At 41.3% G+C, this 15,347-nt stretch overlaps 1 protein-coding gene across 7 annotated transcripts in view, besides 7 other annotated features; it reads right to left on the reverse strand.

Moving 5' to 3' along the window:
* The window catches only part of SLC2A13 (solute carrier family 2 member 13), a 351,057-nt gene extending 337,374 nt beyond the window's left edge, over window positions 1-13,683 (reverse strand). For 5 of the 7 annotated variants that reach the window (XM_011537847.3, NM_052885.4, XM_047428235.1 and 2 more), the window contains exon 1: window positions 12,855-13,683. In XM_011537847.3, the coding sequence (XP_011536149.1) occupies window positions 12,855-13,410 (556 nt within the window). In that variant the 5' untranslated portion in view covers window positions 13,411-13,683. Of the gene's footprint in view, window positions 1-356; window positions 437-7,593; window positions 8,316-12,854 lie in introns of those variants that run through there. The other 2 variants (XM_017018765.2, XM_017018764.2) reach the window with 2 other exon arrangements.
* Window positions 7,149-7,443: a silencer, noted in NCBI's record as "tiled region #12222; HepG2 Repressive non-DNase unmatched - State 7:EnhWF". NCBI's record gives its function as "represses a minimal TATA promoter and a strong SV40 promoter by Sharpr-MPRA in HepG2 cells {active_cell/tissue: HepG2}" and the evidence as "EXISTENCE:reporter gene assay evidence [ECO:0000049][PMID:27701403]".
* Window positions 13,117-13,206: a silencer, noted in NCBI's record as "silent region_4350". NCBI's record gives its function as "represses an Ori minimal core promoter by ATAC-STARR-seq in GM12878 lymphoblastoid cells {active_cell/tissue: GM12878}" and the evidence as "EXISTENCE:reporter gene assay evidence [ECO:0000049][PMID:35858748]".
* Window positions 13,217-13,286: a silencer, noted in NCBI's record as "silent region_4351". NCBI's record gives its function as "represses an Ori minimal core promoter by ATAC-STARR-seq in GM12878 lymphoblastoid cells {active_cell/tissue: GM12878}" and the evidence as "EXISTENCE:reporter gene assay evidence [ECO:0000049][PMID:35858748]".
* Window positions 13,307-13,566: a silencer, noted in NCBI's record as "silent region_4352". NCBI's record gives its function as "represses an Ori minimal core promoter by ATAC-STARR-seq in GM12878 lymphoblastoid cells {active_cell/tissue: GM12878}" and the evidence as "EXISTENCE:reporter gene assay evidence [ECO:0000049][PMID:35858748]".
* Window positions 13,587-13,836: a silencer, noted in NCBI's record as "silent region_4353". NCBI's record gives its function as "represses an Ori minimal core promoter by ATAC-STARR-seq in GM12878 lymphoblastoid cells {active_cell/tissue: GM12878}" and the evidence as "EXISTENCE:reporter gene assay evidence [ECO:0000049][PMID:35858748]".
* Window positions 14,837-15,006: an enhancer, noted in NCBI's record as "experimental_28385 CRE fragment used in MPRA reporter constructs". NCBI's record gives its function as "activates a minimal promoter by MPRAs in K562 erythroleukemia cells, with activity observed for the non-introgressed 12:40501122 variant allele {active_cell/tissue: K562}" and the evidence as "EXISTENCE:reporter gene assay evidence [ECO:0000049][PMID:34662402]".
* Window positions 15,218-15,347: a silencer, noted in NCBI's record as "silent region_4354". NCBI's record gives its function as "represses an Ori minimal core promoter by ATAC-STARR-seq in GM12878 lymphoblastoid cells {active_cell/tissue: GM12878}" and the evidence as "EXISTENCE:reporter gene assay evidence [ECO:0000049][PMID:35858748]".

Raw genomic sequence — 15,347 nt, forward strand, 5'->3', positions numbered from 1 at the left:
GAAACGTAACCCCATCCAGAATTAAATCTGGATGATTTAAAAGGATCAGATCAACCTCAAGATTATGGTACTTATTTTTTAAATTCCACATATGTAATACCATCTTTAGAAATTTATCACATCATTATACACTTACACATGTTTTTTGTCCCCTAAATTTATAATCAGACCATAATGAAAAATAAAATGTGTCTTATTTTTTGAATCCCAAGCCACAATGTGCCTGGCCCAATACAGATGCTCAATAGCTACCTAGTGAAATGTATTATAGAATCTGAAACGTGGATTGGCTGCTAAGAAGAGAATAAGAGGAGATTTCAACTTCCGTATCTCCATTCTCCAGGAGAAAGACTCACTAAAGTTTGAAAACTTGAGTCATCAGACAGAAGATGTGAAGGTCAGAGAAAACTGATCAAGCCTCTTTACAGTCTGGGTGAACTACGACTCCAATGCCTTTCCACTCCTGCTTTAATTCCAGGTTCAAACACGAAGATGCAAGTCTGTGAATCAGTAATCCCTCTTCCCACAAATCTGTCTGCCAGGAAAGAGAGGAGACATTAGAGCATTATTAACATGTGGAATAGATATATCCCACGTAATAAGTTTGCATTTCTGTTGATTCCACTGTCACATCTAAGTGTAATTACTCCAAGTTCATCCTTGAGAGTCTGTCAGATCATTTTTCAGACACAAATCAACTTTTGTTTGTTTAGGTTCCCTAGATACATGGAGAGACTCATTTCATTGCAGGTACTGAAAACAATGTTAGACTTCAAAGTATTAATTGAAGTTAAAAATAATACCTATTTTCTCCCAACCACTTTAAAAAGTTTGAAACCATAGAGTAGTGTCAGAAGCAACCCTAGAGAACATTTAATTACTTCCATCCACTACACAAATTTCCTACAACATCCTTGATCCAATCTCAGCTCAAAATTATTCCTTAGGATTATACTGTTTTAGTTGTTATCTATAGATTAAATATTTACTAGATGCCTGCTGTGTACCAGGCACTACACTATTCAATGGTGGAACAGCAATAAACAAAACAGAAAAATTAAAATCTGCCTTCATGGAGATTACACTCTAGTGGAGAGAAAACAATCAGTAAGTAACACAACCATTAAGTGTTTTGGCTAGTGGAAACTGCTATAGAGAAAAATAAAGCAGGGAAAACTGGTGGTGGGAGCTGCAACTTTAAGCCGAATGATCAAGGAAGACCCCGCTAAGAAGAGATGCTTGAGGAAACACAAGAGAGAAAGGGAAAGAGTGCTCCAGGAATCTGGACAGAGGCTTCCCAGCAGAGGAAACCGCCCATAAAAAGGCCTGGAAGGATGTCTATTGTGTTCCTAGAGGCGGGGTCAGCTGGAAAAGGAGGGAAGGAAAAGCAGTAGGAAATCAAGTCAAAGAAGAAGTGGGGATGGGGAAAGATCCCATGGGGTGCTGCAGACCACTAGCTTTTACTCTGAGGTGGGGAGCTAATCAGGGGCTTTGGGCAGAGAAGTGGCATAGTCTGATTTATATTTTAAATGAATCATTCTGGCTCTCATGTGTATAAAAAGAAAGCAGAGGGGTCAAGAAAAAGGCAGGGTGAACACGTAGCAGACTCTTGAAATACTCCAAGTGAGAGATGGGTGGCATTTGGGATCAGGGTGATTGTAGTGGAAGTGATAAGAAACAGATTTCAGTTATAATTAGGGCCTAGATTCAAAGGATTTCCTAGCCGACTGGATAAGGGGCACATGAGGTAGTCAAGGACAACTCCAAGGCTTTTGGTGCAAGCCCCAGGAGGAATGCTCTGACCTGCTAAGCAGGAGATGGTGGACAAAACAGGGAAGTCGGGTGCAAGCATCTGGAGATCAGGAGACAGGTCTGGGCTGAAATCTAGATTTGGGAGTTCTCTGCAACACAGAAGGTATTCCAAGCCATGAGACAAGATGAGATCCCCAAAGGAGTAAATGTAGAGAAGAGGAGAGCTCTGAGGCTGGCCCAAATTAAGAGGTCTGGGAGATGAAGAGGAATCTGCAAAGGAGATGGGGGAAAGAGCAGCCTACAGAAAAAGCTGGGAGAATATGGTGTCCAAAAGCCAAAGAAAATGGCCCATAAAGACATGATTTACTTGTGTCAAATGCCTTTGGTAGGACAAGTAGGACTGAAGACAGTCCTTGCACTGACCAACACAGAGGGCACAGTAAAGTTGACAAGAGCAATGCCAGTGGAGTGGTAAGGATGAGAGCCTGTCTGGATAGGGTTCAGAAAAAAAGGGAAGAGAGGAACTACAGAGAAGGAATATAGGCAACTGTTTTATGTAAAATAAAGGAGACAAATAGGATAGTAACTGAAAGATAAAGTGGGGCAGAAACAGAAATTTTTAAGACTGCAAAAATTACAGCATGTGTCCATGCTTATGGGAATAACCCAGTAGAAGAAGAAATTTTATGAGACAAAAGAGAAAGAGCTGGAATGACAGCTTTGAATAGGAGACAGGGAGAGGCCTTAGCCAGTTCATCTATAGAAACAGGAAGAAGACGCATCTGTGCAAGGCCCAGGCAGGAACAGCTGAGGAAACCCAAAAGAGAGGAGGGAGTGTGGAATGGGAGCCCATAGAAGCTCTCATTCTCAGCCATAAAGTAAGCAAGACACTTTCCTGAGATACATACAATAGTAAGATCCCAGAAATGTACTTCATGTATCATGACCCCTTGCTAATTCATGCAATGAGTTAAAAATCTGGGGGAAAAAATACACCCACACCACTATTATACGATTAGATTGCAACATTTTTGTCATTATTTCCTAAAAATGTCCTTCCATAGAATAAGAAGTAAAATCTAATTTGGAAAAAAGTATCTTGCCACAGTGTTTTGTTATGTGTGTGTCTGTGCCTTTTAAAACAAAAATCTGCGTGAAGTAAAATAATGATCTAAAGGGAAGAGTAAAAAAACAAAATGTAAAAAAGGCCCTGTGCTATATGTAAACTAAACATACACCTTTATTCCTTCTTCCAAACTCTATGTCCAGCTGTAATTTTTTAGGTAGTTGCAATCAATAGGTCCATACAAGTAGGTTCTATTCTTTGGGCTTAATATTTGCAGGATATGTGTATCTAAGGTCTACACATTTTTGTGTTTAATGTCAATGTGATGTGGTCTAACTAATCATTTCCCAATTACTAGGCACTTGGAGGTTCCTCCTAGCTTTTTAAAATTACATATTGCATATCTATAAATACTTTTAAACAAAATGAGTTTTTCTTTATTTCCTTATATTACAATCCCTCAAGTGAAATTTCCAGATCAAAGAATTATTAGCAACTTTACAAATGAACTGCAAGAGCACAGTATATAATACATATTAGTAATTCAAAATAAACTTGTTGAATGAAGAAAAATGAATGAAGCATGTTAAACATGTCAGCTTTTTATCTAGAATATTCTCTATAGAAAATTATTGCAATTTATTTTACAAGCAGAAAATCATATTTTCCTAGGGAACAACTTAGCCTGAGTTTTGCTTAGTTTTTTGGGGTTTTTCTGTTTGTTTGTTTTTTTCTTGAGACGGAGTCTCGCTCTGTCGCCCAGGCTGGAGTGCAGTGGCACGATCTCAGCTCACTGCAAGCTCCACCTCCCAAGTTCATGCCATTCTCCTGCCTCAGCCTCCTGAGTAGCCCGCCACCACGCCTGGCTAATTTTTTTTTTTTTTTGTACTTTTTAGTAGAGATGGGGTTTCACCATGTTAGCCAGGATGGTCTCGATCTCCTGACCTCATAATCCACCCGCCTCAGCCTCCCAAAGTGCTGGGATTACAGGCATGAGCCACCGCACCCGGCCAGCCCTGAGTTTTTAATTTGCTAATTTAGTAAGTATCGTGTTCTTTTAATTTTCACCTGTAATTAGTAACAAGGTTTAACACTTTCCCAAGAGTCTATTTACTAACTGTATTTTTCTTGTTGTATACAGTCTATTCAGTATAATTTGAGGATAAATATATTTTCTTTTAAGTAAATAAATTTACCATAATATTTTTCCAATCTGTTGCCTTGCTTTTAAAATCTCTGCTTTGAGGTTTTAAAAATTATAATAAAAGATGTCATCAATATAGATAAGAAAAAAAACAAAAAAAATTAGAGACTCTTAAACCAATATACTAGAGAAGATGAGACCTAAATTTCATTTACATTATTTTAAATTCATATTCCTATTTCCTCTTCTCAGTTACTTCGTTCTTTTCCCTCTTATTTGCTCAATACTAAACTCTTCCAAACAGTTGGATCTATCACTGGAATTCTGATTCTGTTCCATTCATCCTATACTGGTTTTAATAATATATACAGTATACCCTATACATTATATATATATTATTTCTTTGCATTAATTTCTTCTGTCTATAACTACTGTCTTACTACTGTTCCCTCAATCTGATTACAATCATTTTGTGAAATTCTAGAAAGTATCATCTTGGGATTTTCATTGCTAGCACATTAAATACTAATACTAATTTACGAAACATTATAGTGACCATATTTCGCTTTCACAATCAAAAACTGGATTTATCATATAATAGAAAGGTGGGGTGCACACTGGTTCTTGATCAGATTTAAATCTCAGCACTGTTACTAACAGTGCTAATTTCCCTAATTTCTCTACACTTCCTTTAATTCATACTTAAACTAAGGAAAATACCAATGTTCCTACTTACTGAGGTGAATGCAAACATATACACCTATAGGCATAAAGAATGAGCTTTGTTTTAGAGCCTACTTTTTATAATGCCTCTGTTAAGCTGCTAAAAAGCATTATATCAAAGGAAATGAAGATAATATATTTTCACAAAGAATGTATTCTAGGGAACAAAATGACATACTCCTAGAAGTAAAATCTAGTATTTTATTAGAACTTCCAAAAAGCTTACTCTCAAGGGGCATGACAAATGACTCCAACAGTTTTAGTTTTGTGTGTGTTTAGCAAAAACAAATAGGACTACATCAAACTTAAAAACTGTACATCAAAAGACACAATAAACAGTGAAAAAGCAACCAATGGAATGAAAGAAAACATTTGCAAATCATATATCTGATAGGGGGTTAATATTCAGAATACATAAGGAACTTCTACAACTCAATAGCAACTGCAATAAACCAATTAAAAATAGGTCAGGGACGTGAAAATGCAATAAACAATTTTCCAAAGAAGATATACAAATGTACAAGTGGCCAACAAGCCTATGAAAAAATGTTCCACATCACTAATCATAAGAGAAATGTAAATCCAAACCACCATATCACTTCATATCCATTAGGATGGCCACTGTCAAAAGAAAAGAAAACAACAAATATTGGTGGGAATATTGAGAAATTGGAACCCTGTATACTGCTGGTAGCAATGTAAAATGCAGCCACTATGGAAAATGGGATAGAAGTTCCTCAAAAAATTAGAAATAGAACTACTACATGGTCCAGCAATCTCAATTCTGGGTATATATCCAAAATAATTCAAAGAAGGACCTCAAAGAGATGTATGCACTCCCATCTTCATTGCAGCATTATCCACAACAGCCAAGAGGGAGAGGCAACTCAAAGGTCCATCAACAGACGAATGGATAGATTAAATGCCCTATATATGTGTATATGTATGTATATATGTATATATGTGTATATATGTATATATGTGTATATATATGTATATATGCATATATGTGTATTTATTTTTATATGTGTGTGTATATATAGGTGTGTATATATATACACACACATATACACAATGGAATATTATGCAGCCTTTAAAAAGAGGGAAACTCTATCATATGCTACACCATGATGAACCTCAAGTGAAGTAAGCCAACAAAGGACAAATACTGCATGATTCCACTTACGTGAAGTATCCAAAGCAGTAAAAATCATAGAAACAGAAGGTAGAAAGGTGGGTTGCCAAGGGATAGGGAAGAGAGGCTGGGGAATTTGTGTTTAATAGACACAGTGTTTCAGTTTTGCAAGATGAAAATGTTCTAGAGATGTGTTGTGCAACAATGTGAATATACCTAACAATACTGAACTGTACACCTTAAAATGGGTTAAGAGTATAAATGTTATGTGTTCTTTACCACAATAAAAAAATAAATCTATACTAAAACAAACAAAAGTAATGTCCACATGACATATCATGGTAAAGAACAATTATGCTAGTTTCAGGGAGGAGTGAGTGAGTGAGTGAGTGTCACAGACTGGTTGAGCACAGGCTGGGAAGCCAGACCTCTTGGGTTTGAACTCTGGCCCCACCCAGTAGCTTTGTGATCATGAGAAAGTTACTTCAACTCTTTCTGCCTAAATATCCTTATCTTAAAATAAAGGTAACCGTATTATCCCCCTGGGTTATTATGAAGACTATGTGAATTAGCCATGTGCAAAATGTTTAGAAGTTAAGCATTCAACAAGTCTTAAGTACTACGTCCAGGGTGTTGGCCGCTAAGCTGATGGCCAATCCACACCCTGCCAAGAGGATGGACTGCCTAGACTCCTCCCAGTGCAGCGGCAGGGTGGCGCTAAAATCAGAAGAACACTGGTGCCATTGCTCGCTGGTGACCAGCTGTCACGGTGCTTGGCCCTGCTGTGAAACGATGCTCCTGCCACGTGGCCTTGGACACATGCTGCAGACCGCACCATTTCAAATGGTGGCCTTTAATAAAAGGCCTAACTAGAAAGCATGTAGTACTCTCAACTTGAGTTTAGAAGTACCCGTAAAACTTTTTTCTCTCTTTCTACAACCAGAGAAATTAAATTTTACATGTGGGAAAAGTTTGAGGTTTTTCTGGTGAGTATGAATTTTCCTCCTGACAATGGAAGTTTTGATACTATTAGAAATAGGTGCTATAAGAAGTGTTGCTACTATTTATTACTCTGATGGGTCACAGGAAAAAGAAAGGTAAAGAAATGGAAAAAGGTGTAGACAAGAAAGATGTACAAAGGAGCCAAGTACAATATGAGAAAAAGAAAATTAGACTCAGGTGATTTTGGGTAAAGATGGCAACGACTGCTTGCTATTTCAGTTCTCTTAGCAGTTTCTACATCATTAAAGGTGTTCAAAAAGATGTTAGTGTGAAGTCAGTTAACTTTGAGTGTGTTCTTACTTTAAGTTTATAATCCATAAGAGGGCAAAATGGATGAATGAAAAAGCACAATGTTTTCCAAGGAAGTCACGTGAACAATTTCACATAACTCACGTTAACAGACTTACGTTATCTTACTGACAACTCACTTGAAGAGGGTGTTGCTATACTACTAGGCAAACACAACTAGATCATAATCCTCACTATAACTGCAGTGTCAGTCCCTAGGCTGCCAGACAGAAAAGGGGAGGGAACAAAGCTGTTAATGTGTATAAAACAAGGAAATACAAGAAGTCAAAGGAGGCTTTATGTGTCAGTTTCACACCAGTAGGAAGCATAAATCCAATACAGAATTCCTGCCTTCAAAAACAACCAAAAAGAAAGAAAGTGGGGAGTAGTGGAAAAAAAAAAAATTTGAGCACCTCCCCCCAAAACTGTATTTTAGCTGATTAACTATTTGAAAATTAGGAGCTTCTGCCCAACTATGCTTACCTTAAATGACATTCTTTGTTGACATTGATCTCAACATTGCATTTTTTTGATCAAACAAGATTTTACATTTCATTTGCACTGAGGAAGAATTCAAAGTGCTGTTTGAAAAAAAATGTGGTATTTTTAAAAGTATTACTCAACAGGCCATAATATACTAATTACAAGCTGCAATTTACAGCTACAAATTGTGTTCAAGTAGAGGGAGTCCGGAAAGAGGCTGACACAGGAGAAACTGATGTAAATCTAAGATTAATTCAACGAATCCCGTGCTGTATAAATTAGTATGTCAATTCTCAGGAAAGGTTTTGAATACTGGTGACTATCAAATTTAGAGATTTCTTGATATTCCCTACACAGGCCCTAAATCACCACTTATAATAAGCAGTAGAATAAATGCCAACACCAGGGAGAAAGGGCTAATGGGTATGCTTTTTCACTGACTGTGTACATGCTAATAGTGTTAACAGTACTATGCTCTTGTACTTTGTGTTTTCTAGACAATTTCTTTTGTGTTATGCATGGGAGATACACAATGATAGAAAATAAATAAAGCAAATGAGCAAACTCATATTCTTCAATCCTGTTGTAACTAACCACACTTCAAAACCTTGATTATAGGTACAATACTGCTAAACAAACACCTGAAAATGGGATTGTGTGTAAAGAACATACAAAATAAGATTAACCCTGGGCCGGGCATGGTGGCTCACACCTGTAATCCCAGCACTTTGGAAGGCCGAAGCAGGCAGATCACCTGAGATCAGGAGTTCGAGACCAGCTTGGCCAACATGGTGAAACCCTGTCTCTACCAAAAATACAAAAATTAGCTGGGTGTGGTGGGCAGGCGCCTGTAATCCCAGCTACTCAGGAGGCTGAGGCAGGAGAATCGCTTGAACCTGGGAGGTGGGGGTTGCAGTGAGCCGAGATCTCGCCACCGTGCTCCAGCCTGGGCGACAAGAGTGAAGTTCCATCTCAGACAAAAAAAAAAAAAAAAAAAAAGATTAACCCTGTTAGAATACAATCATTTCTGGGATGGAAAACGTATGTCCTATTTGAAATTCGACTTTTCACGTTTAAAAAGTTCAGATGGTCATGGTAGCAGGCAGCGACAATGGAGAAAGTCTAGTGTCAGGACTCAAGTGGAAGAGAAAAATAAACTAGAGGAACCAAAGATGACTCTGGTGAACCAATAAAAAAAAAAGAAAAGAAAACCCAAAATAATGCCATATTTAAAACAGGCACGCAGTATTTTTTTTACAACCAGTCAAGAAAACAGAACCCTTAAATCAAAACAAATACACATATCCCTGACTTCTGATACTTAAGGTCTTTTACTATACAATTCATTTAATACCCATTAATAACTACACTCTACTCCTTGCTATCTTCGCCTTTGTCAAAGGTTTCTACTGAAGGGTCCACTGACTCCTTCCATATCAGTAATTCACGGTCACATGCTATGCTTTACCCATCCTGTAGTAGCCATCTCAGCAAATGATTGCTAATACCCAAAATTTCAAAGACATGAGAAGACTTAAGAAAGAAGGTAAAAGAGCTTAAAAGTATAATGGGAAAACAAAAACCCTCACATCTCAGATTCAAGAGATGTTAAATCTGATTACATTATTTACTGTTAAAAACCTCTAAAAGCTCTCCAAATAAACCATATTCAGCCTAATCCCCCCAAAACATTCCAGTCTCATGACCACCTCATCACCACCCTCACTCATCTATGCTTCAAATACTAATTTGATTTTTCTGTGCCTTTACACCAGCTATTAACTCCACCTTAAATGCCCAGTAGGGTAACAGAGCAAAAGACTCAAGGTTGTTTGTTTTTTTTTTTTAATCCTGTCTCTGTAATCAGTGACCTTGCCATTTAACTGTTTCCACACCCAACAAAAGGAGACCCATTCCTCAGACTCAGGAAGATTAAATGAGGTAATATGTGTAAAGTACTCCACCAGGTCTCGAACATACTAAAGCACTAAATAAGCACTTTTCTGGCTACATCTACATCATCTGCTGAACACCTACTCACTCTTCAAACCCTACTTTGAATATCCCACTGTAGAACTTTCCTCAATCCTGTGTTCTATTTTTTTCCCTGAAAGAATCAACTGACCACTTACTCTTCTGTGTGTCATCTGGCACTACAGAGAAATGTCTCTTTTAATTGCTTGTTTATGTATCTTTCTACTCCATTATAAAATGAACACCTCCAGGGTGGGATTTTTATCTAATTACTGCCTGCCCCATATCTGACAGGATCCATAATGGAAGCTTAATTAGCAAGTGTTGAATAGATAATGATTTCATTAAACTATTACAACCAAAACCTTTAGATGCCCTTTCAAATATTTTGATAATGCACTATTTTTGTGGTTTGAAAAGAACAATCCTACCTTAAAGTGCTACCCGACCAGCAATGGAATTTGGATTTTTTTTTTTCGTTTTTGCTCACCATTCATTTATTCAACAAGTATCTCCTATGTGGCAGGAATATATCAGTGAACAAAATGAGCAGAAATCCTTGACCCACATGGGCCGTATATTTTACCACAGGTAAACGTGTGGAGGAAAGAAGTTCTTAGAGCAAACTTGTCTGAAAAAGGTATCAAAAGCCACATTTTGTTATTCATCAACATTTCCTAAATATCATAAGGACAAAACAACAAATCCCTGACTACACATAAAATTTAACTACTTAAAAAACAATGGCATAAAATTAACCCAGATTGTGTACCAAACAAGCAAACTGATTTAATGTCCCTCAAAAAATGCTCATGTTAGGAACCCATTTCCTTGTAGCTTAAAAAAAAGTGATTTTCTTTGTAAGTTTTAATGATTTTATGTGTATAATTACATGCTTTGCATAGATCCTAATTTTAATCCTAATTTGAAGTGGATTTATTTCATTACTGTTTTGTTTTGAATGCGGCCTATTTCAAAGCCTGTTTATGATCTTAAAACATTCTTCATTTTGTAAATGAAGAGGGCTTTTACGAAACTGCCTCAGGGCTTCTATTCTGAGAGGTATGTTTCTGGAAGTGAGATGGGCCACACCAGAACTGAATGGAGAACATATCTAAACTGGGCTTCTCTATTGAACCAACCAGCCCAGAGACCACAGAATGAGGCTGCAAGACAGAGAGGCCTCCACAGCTCTTGCACACCAACACTTCCAATCTGATCTCCTGCTTTGTCCTCTATTGCTGCTTCCACCTATTCCCCAAGTATGCCCTATGCTTTCCTTCCTTTACCCATTTTGCCCCTTGCTTAGAACGTCCTTTCCTCGTTTCTGTTAAAATACTGACATGTCAACATACCATTTCCATTGGTAAGAGCTTCTGGCTTCCCTCTGTTGGAGATAACTGTACCCCCTCTGAATTCATCAGCCATCTCTGATAACCTATCTTATAAAGCTTAGCAAGTTCTACGTTGCTTTTGCCCCAGCTTGCTACATTTACTAAAGTATAATACATTCTCCTCACTATTCAGCTCACAACATCTGGAAGGGGACCTTACACAGAACAGGGCTCAATTCGCAGGTCAGATAAAAAGAGTAAACATAATACCCAAGATTTTAACCAATACCTGCCATAGCAAAACACTAGGAAGCTTCATTTAGACAGCTCTGCAAAGCATGATTCAATTTCAAAATTACAGAAAAGATTGAGGTTGACAGAACAATTCTTGCTACCTAAAATGATGTTATTTCTATGTCAGAAGCAACAAAAAAGGTCCAGATGTCCCAAGCAGACAATGCTGAGAAAAGAATCGTGGTCACTTAAACAGCAGGTTATTTGTTGAAGGGTCCTGAAGGCCCAAGTAGTTTCCACACAAATAGGTTTCATTTCAGCTGGATTTTTTGGTCACTTTGGATATTTTTGTGCCAACTTAATATGTTACGGAGAGCTTTGCCCTACCTTTGCTAATTAACAGTACAATAAACAGCAAAAGGAAGGTCACTACTGACAAACTTTGAATATAAAGTGCAGTGAGCTGGGTTTTAGGCTCATGGTTCCCGCATGTGGAGTTGAATATATGGCCTTTGCTTCCCTTCAGAACCCACAGAGAAAGGGTGAAAAGCACAAACATCAAACAAGTGGTGAATACACAGATCAGCAGCAGCCCCAGGTTTAAAGCGCTTTCATCAAGCCCCAGCCATAGGGAAGAAATACTTCAACAGCACCCTAAGGGAAACAAAAAACTGAATTATGAAACGAAACATTAAAAAAGCATCAGCGGTGTGTCTTAGAAAAATTACTAGTGAGATTTAAGTCACAGCCCCCCACTTTCCCTCAAAAGTGCTTTCTAATAATACAGAGCACATTCCAAATAGCTTCCCTCTGCCAAAAACTTGCCAATTGTACCTCCCCTGCTCAGCAACCAGGGTGAAAAAAATTCAACGCCAGGAGAACCTTAATGCCTTCATTTTTGAAGTAAATTCCAAACATTTATCTTGCGGGGCATTTATCCACAGGGGGAGTAGCTCCTAAATGAATTAAGGAAGTGAATATGACCTTTAATAGATAATTTGGTTCCCAACTGGAAAGCAGGAGAGGAAAAACAAAGAGGAGAATGGATAAAAAAGGATTCAAATGAAAAAGTTGGAAAAACAGAGGAGAATGGAATTTACTTGGGAAAAGAATGAAAGCTGAAAGGCAATAGAAAAAGCATAAAAGCAAAAGGAGATGCCATCTAAAGACAAATGCTAGATAAGCAAAGAGGGCAGGGGTCGCTAATAAACCTTTCAGAGTCCAGAATTACTTAACTCTAAATATTATCTCACTGTAACTTGACGATGGTCTAGGTTCCAGGCTGGGAGCCCCAGAAAACGAAAGGGGCTAGCAGTGGAGAGGCAAGGTGGGACAGTGCAGGAAAGCAGAGACCCTCGTAAGCTCAAGAAGCAGCATCAGGTTAGGCTGGATCAAGGAAAGAGCTGGTGCTCAGCTAGGTTTCTGGAAGTGCTGAGAGGCAACAACCACTTGGACTGACTGGTCCGTGGCCTATCAAAGATTCCACGTGCGCTCGAGGGAGACTAGAGTGACACCCCCTCCCCCCCGACCCTCCCACCTCCCGGGAGAGCCTTGGAGGCTGGACCAACAAACAGATGGGCTCTGGAGGCCAGAGAAGTGGAGGATTCTCTGACCCTGGGAGACCAGACGGGGACCCCGATGGGCAAGAGGCACGCAACACCCAGGGTCAAGGGCGGTGACAATGGGATCCCGGGCGCCCTTCACGGAGCCCGAACTCACCGATGCCGAGTCCCACGACCAGGCGGCCGGCGAGCAGTGTCTCCTTGTTGTTGGCCGCAGCCAGCACCGCGGAGCCGGCGGTGAAGAGGGCACTGGCCAGGAGGATGGCAGCGCGGCGGCCGAAGACGCCGTTGAGGGCGCCTCCGGCCAGCGCCGAGACGGCAGCCGCCCCCACCGTGCTGGACACCAGCAGCTCCTGCCACAGCGCGTCCAGACTGAGCTGCCGCTTGAGCAGCAGCATGGCCCCTGACACCACCCCGGTGTCATAGCCAAACAGGAAGCCGCCCAGCGCGGAGAAGACGGCCACCACGTACACGAAGGCGGGGGTCTCGTCCTGCTGGAACTGCCGCCGCGCCGCGCGCTCCAGGTCCCCGACGCCGCCGCCGCCCGCGCCCGCGCTCTGCAGGCTGGTGCTCGATTCGGCGGCAGCCAGGAGGCTGCACTCCCCGGCCGCGCTCGCCGCGTCCGGCTCCGGCTGCTTCCTGCGCCGCTCGCCCATCAGGCTGCTCAGGCTCCGCAGCGTGTACTCCACATTCTCGCTTGCCTTGCGGGACATAGGGCAGGGGCCCGGGGCTGCCCGGGGGGACGCGGCTCCGCGGGCCGGCAGTCTCGGCGAGCTAGACAGCCCGAGCCGGCGGGAGCAACCGCCGCTGCCGCCGCTTTCTTCCTCCCGGCTTCCGCTCCGGCTGCCACGGCAGCAGCCGCCGCCACGGCCGCTCCGGGGAGAAAGTTGCTGCCCGCCGCGCTCCGACGCTGCGGAGTTGGAGCCCGGCGGGTCTCACTCCACACTCACGCCCCGCGCCTGCCGAGCTGGCGCTGCGGAGCGGGCGGGAGGCGGGACCGCGGGTCACGTGCAACCCCGGGCCGGCGGGGCGGGGCCCGGGAAACGTCCCGCCCCCTCCTTGGGCGGGGCCAGGCTCAGCCCGCCCCGGACCCCTAAACCCCGCCCTCCCGGTGGGTGCGACCTCTGACCTAGGCTCCCTCATTTAGGGCTCTGGCAACCGTATGGAATTAACCCTGCCTTCCGAGCTGCAGCGGTGGAGCAAGCCAATGTGGCGATGCCATCAGGCAACAGGCTTCCAGACGGGAAGCCACCCAGAATGTTTGCCGTGTTTGGAGAGGAGGGAGAGAGCACCTAAACCAGCCTCACTGTCCTTCCAGCAGCCTAGAGAGAGGGCTGGAAAAAATATCCTAGAATAGGACCTAGCAAGTACCCTTCCTTTTATAGTATTGTGACATTACCCAGCGTGGTCTACTTCCCTGGCATTAAATGTGTTTGTTCTGGAGCAATTCAGGGCTGCATGCTCCCATTTCTATAGCTAGTTTCCACTCTCATCGCCAGTCCCTCCTCAATTTATGCTTATTTTAAAGGAATGGTACATTTGATTCTTTGAGGACAGAGAACATATCTCTGTGGTGAATCCCAAACCCTCCTTCCATGGATCCCCGACCTGTAAAAGAAAATTCACATATATGCATTCCACTCATGTAACGGGTAATTCCCAGAAATAGAAAGAAAACTCAAGACCCTGATTTGTGATTCGGCAGGCAGTCTCCATTTCCCCGCCCCAACATGCTAACCAAAAGGTAGGATAGCTTCTCTCCTGAGAATCCCCACTGTTGCCCTCCATGAGGCACTGTTTTAACAGCCTCATTTACTTGAAACAAAGCAAAGATAACGTTATTTGCAACCAATTTTTTAAACTGTTGAGTGAATTAACAGTTGTTGGTTCATTTGGGGTTTGTTTCCCCCTTTAATTTAAATGTTTTTAAAATATACAGTTGCGCATCAGGGGCTAAAGATAGTTTGTTTTGTTTTGTTTTGTTTTTGAGACAGATTCTCGCTCTGTCGCCCAGGCTGGAGTGCAGTGGCGCTATCTCGGCACACTGCAGCCTCCGCCTCCCAGGTTCAAGCGATTCTCCTGCCTCAGCCTTCCTAGCAGCTGGGACTGCTAAAGATGTTTTGTGCCTCTAATTTGCTTTCATTCTTCAGGCTGAGGGCAAAAAGTCAAGCATCATATGATTCTATTCCTACAATTCCACTGCTCTTTTATTTCCCTTATTTGAGCAAAAGCTTTCTTAGCCTGGGGCCTATTTTTCATGCAGCTATAACTTTTTTCCTTTCAGACAAAAGGATTTTGTCATTCCTGTTTCAGTAAAAACTTATATTAGAATTTGTCAAAACTGCTTTCGTTTTGATTATCAGTCACGATTATCTCTACAATATAGTACTTTCCTTGCCAGCAACAAGGAAAAATAAACTAATGAAGCCAGACGGCTTAACTATTTAAATGTTATCGTCTGGCTTTAAAGCAAGGCTCTACCGTCATTCCCAGGCATCAGTTAAACAGAGAGAGCCTTTAGATCTGCAGCAATGAACTCTTTAATATTCAGACCTCGGACAATATTGCAGGTGAGAGCGCGCCTTTTCCGCGGCATGCTACGGTATAGTAAAACTGCGCCCCCTGGTGGTGAGCCAATTCCCACGGCTTC

The sequence above is a fragment of the Homo sapiens genome, chromosome 12 (genome assembly GCF_000001405.40).
Source record: "Homo sapiens chromosome 12, GRCh38.p14 Primary Assembly".
In the NCBI taxonomy this organism is placed as follows: domain Eukaryota; kingdom Metazoa; phylum Chordata; class Mammalia; order Primates; family Hominidae; genus Homo; species Homo sapiens.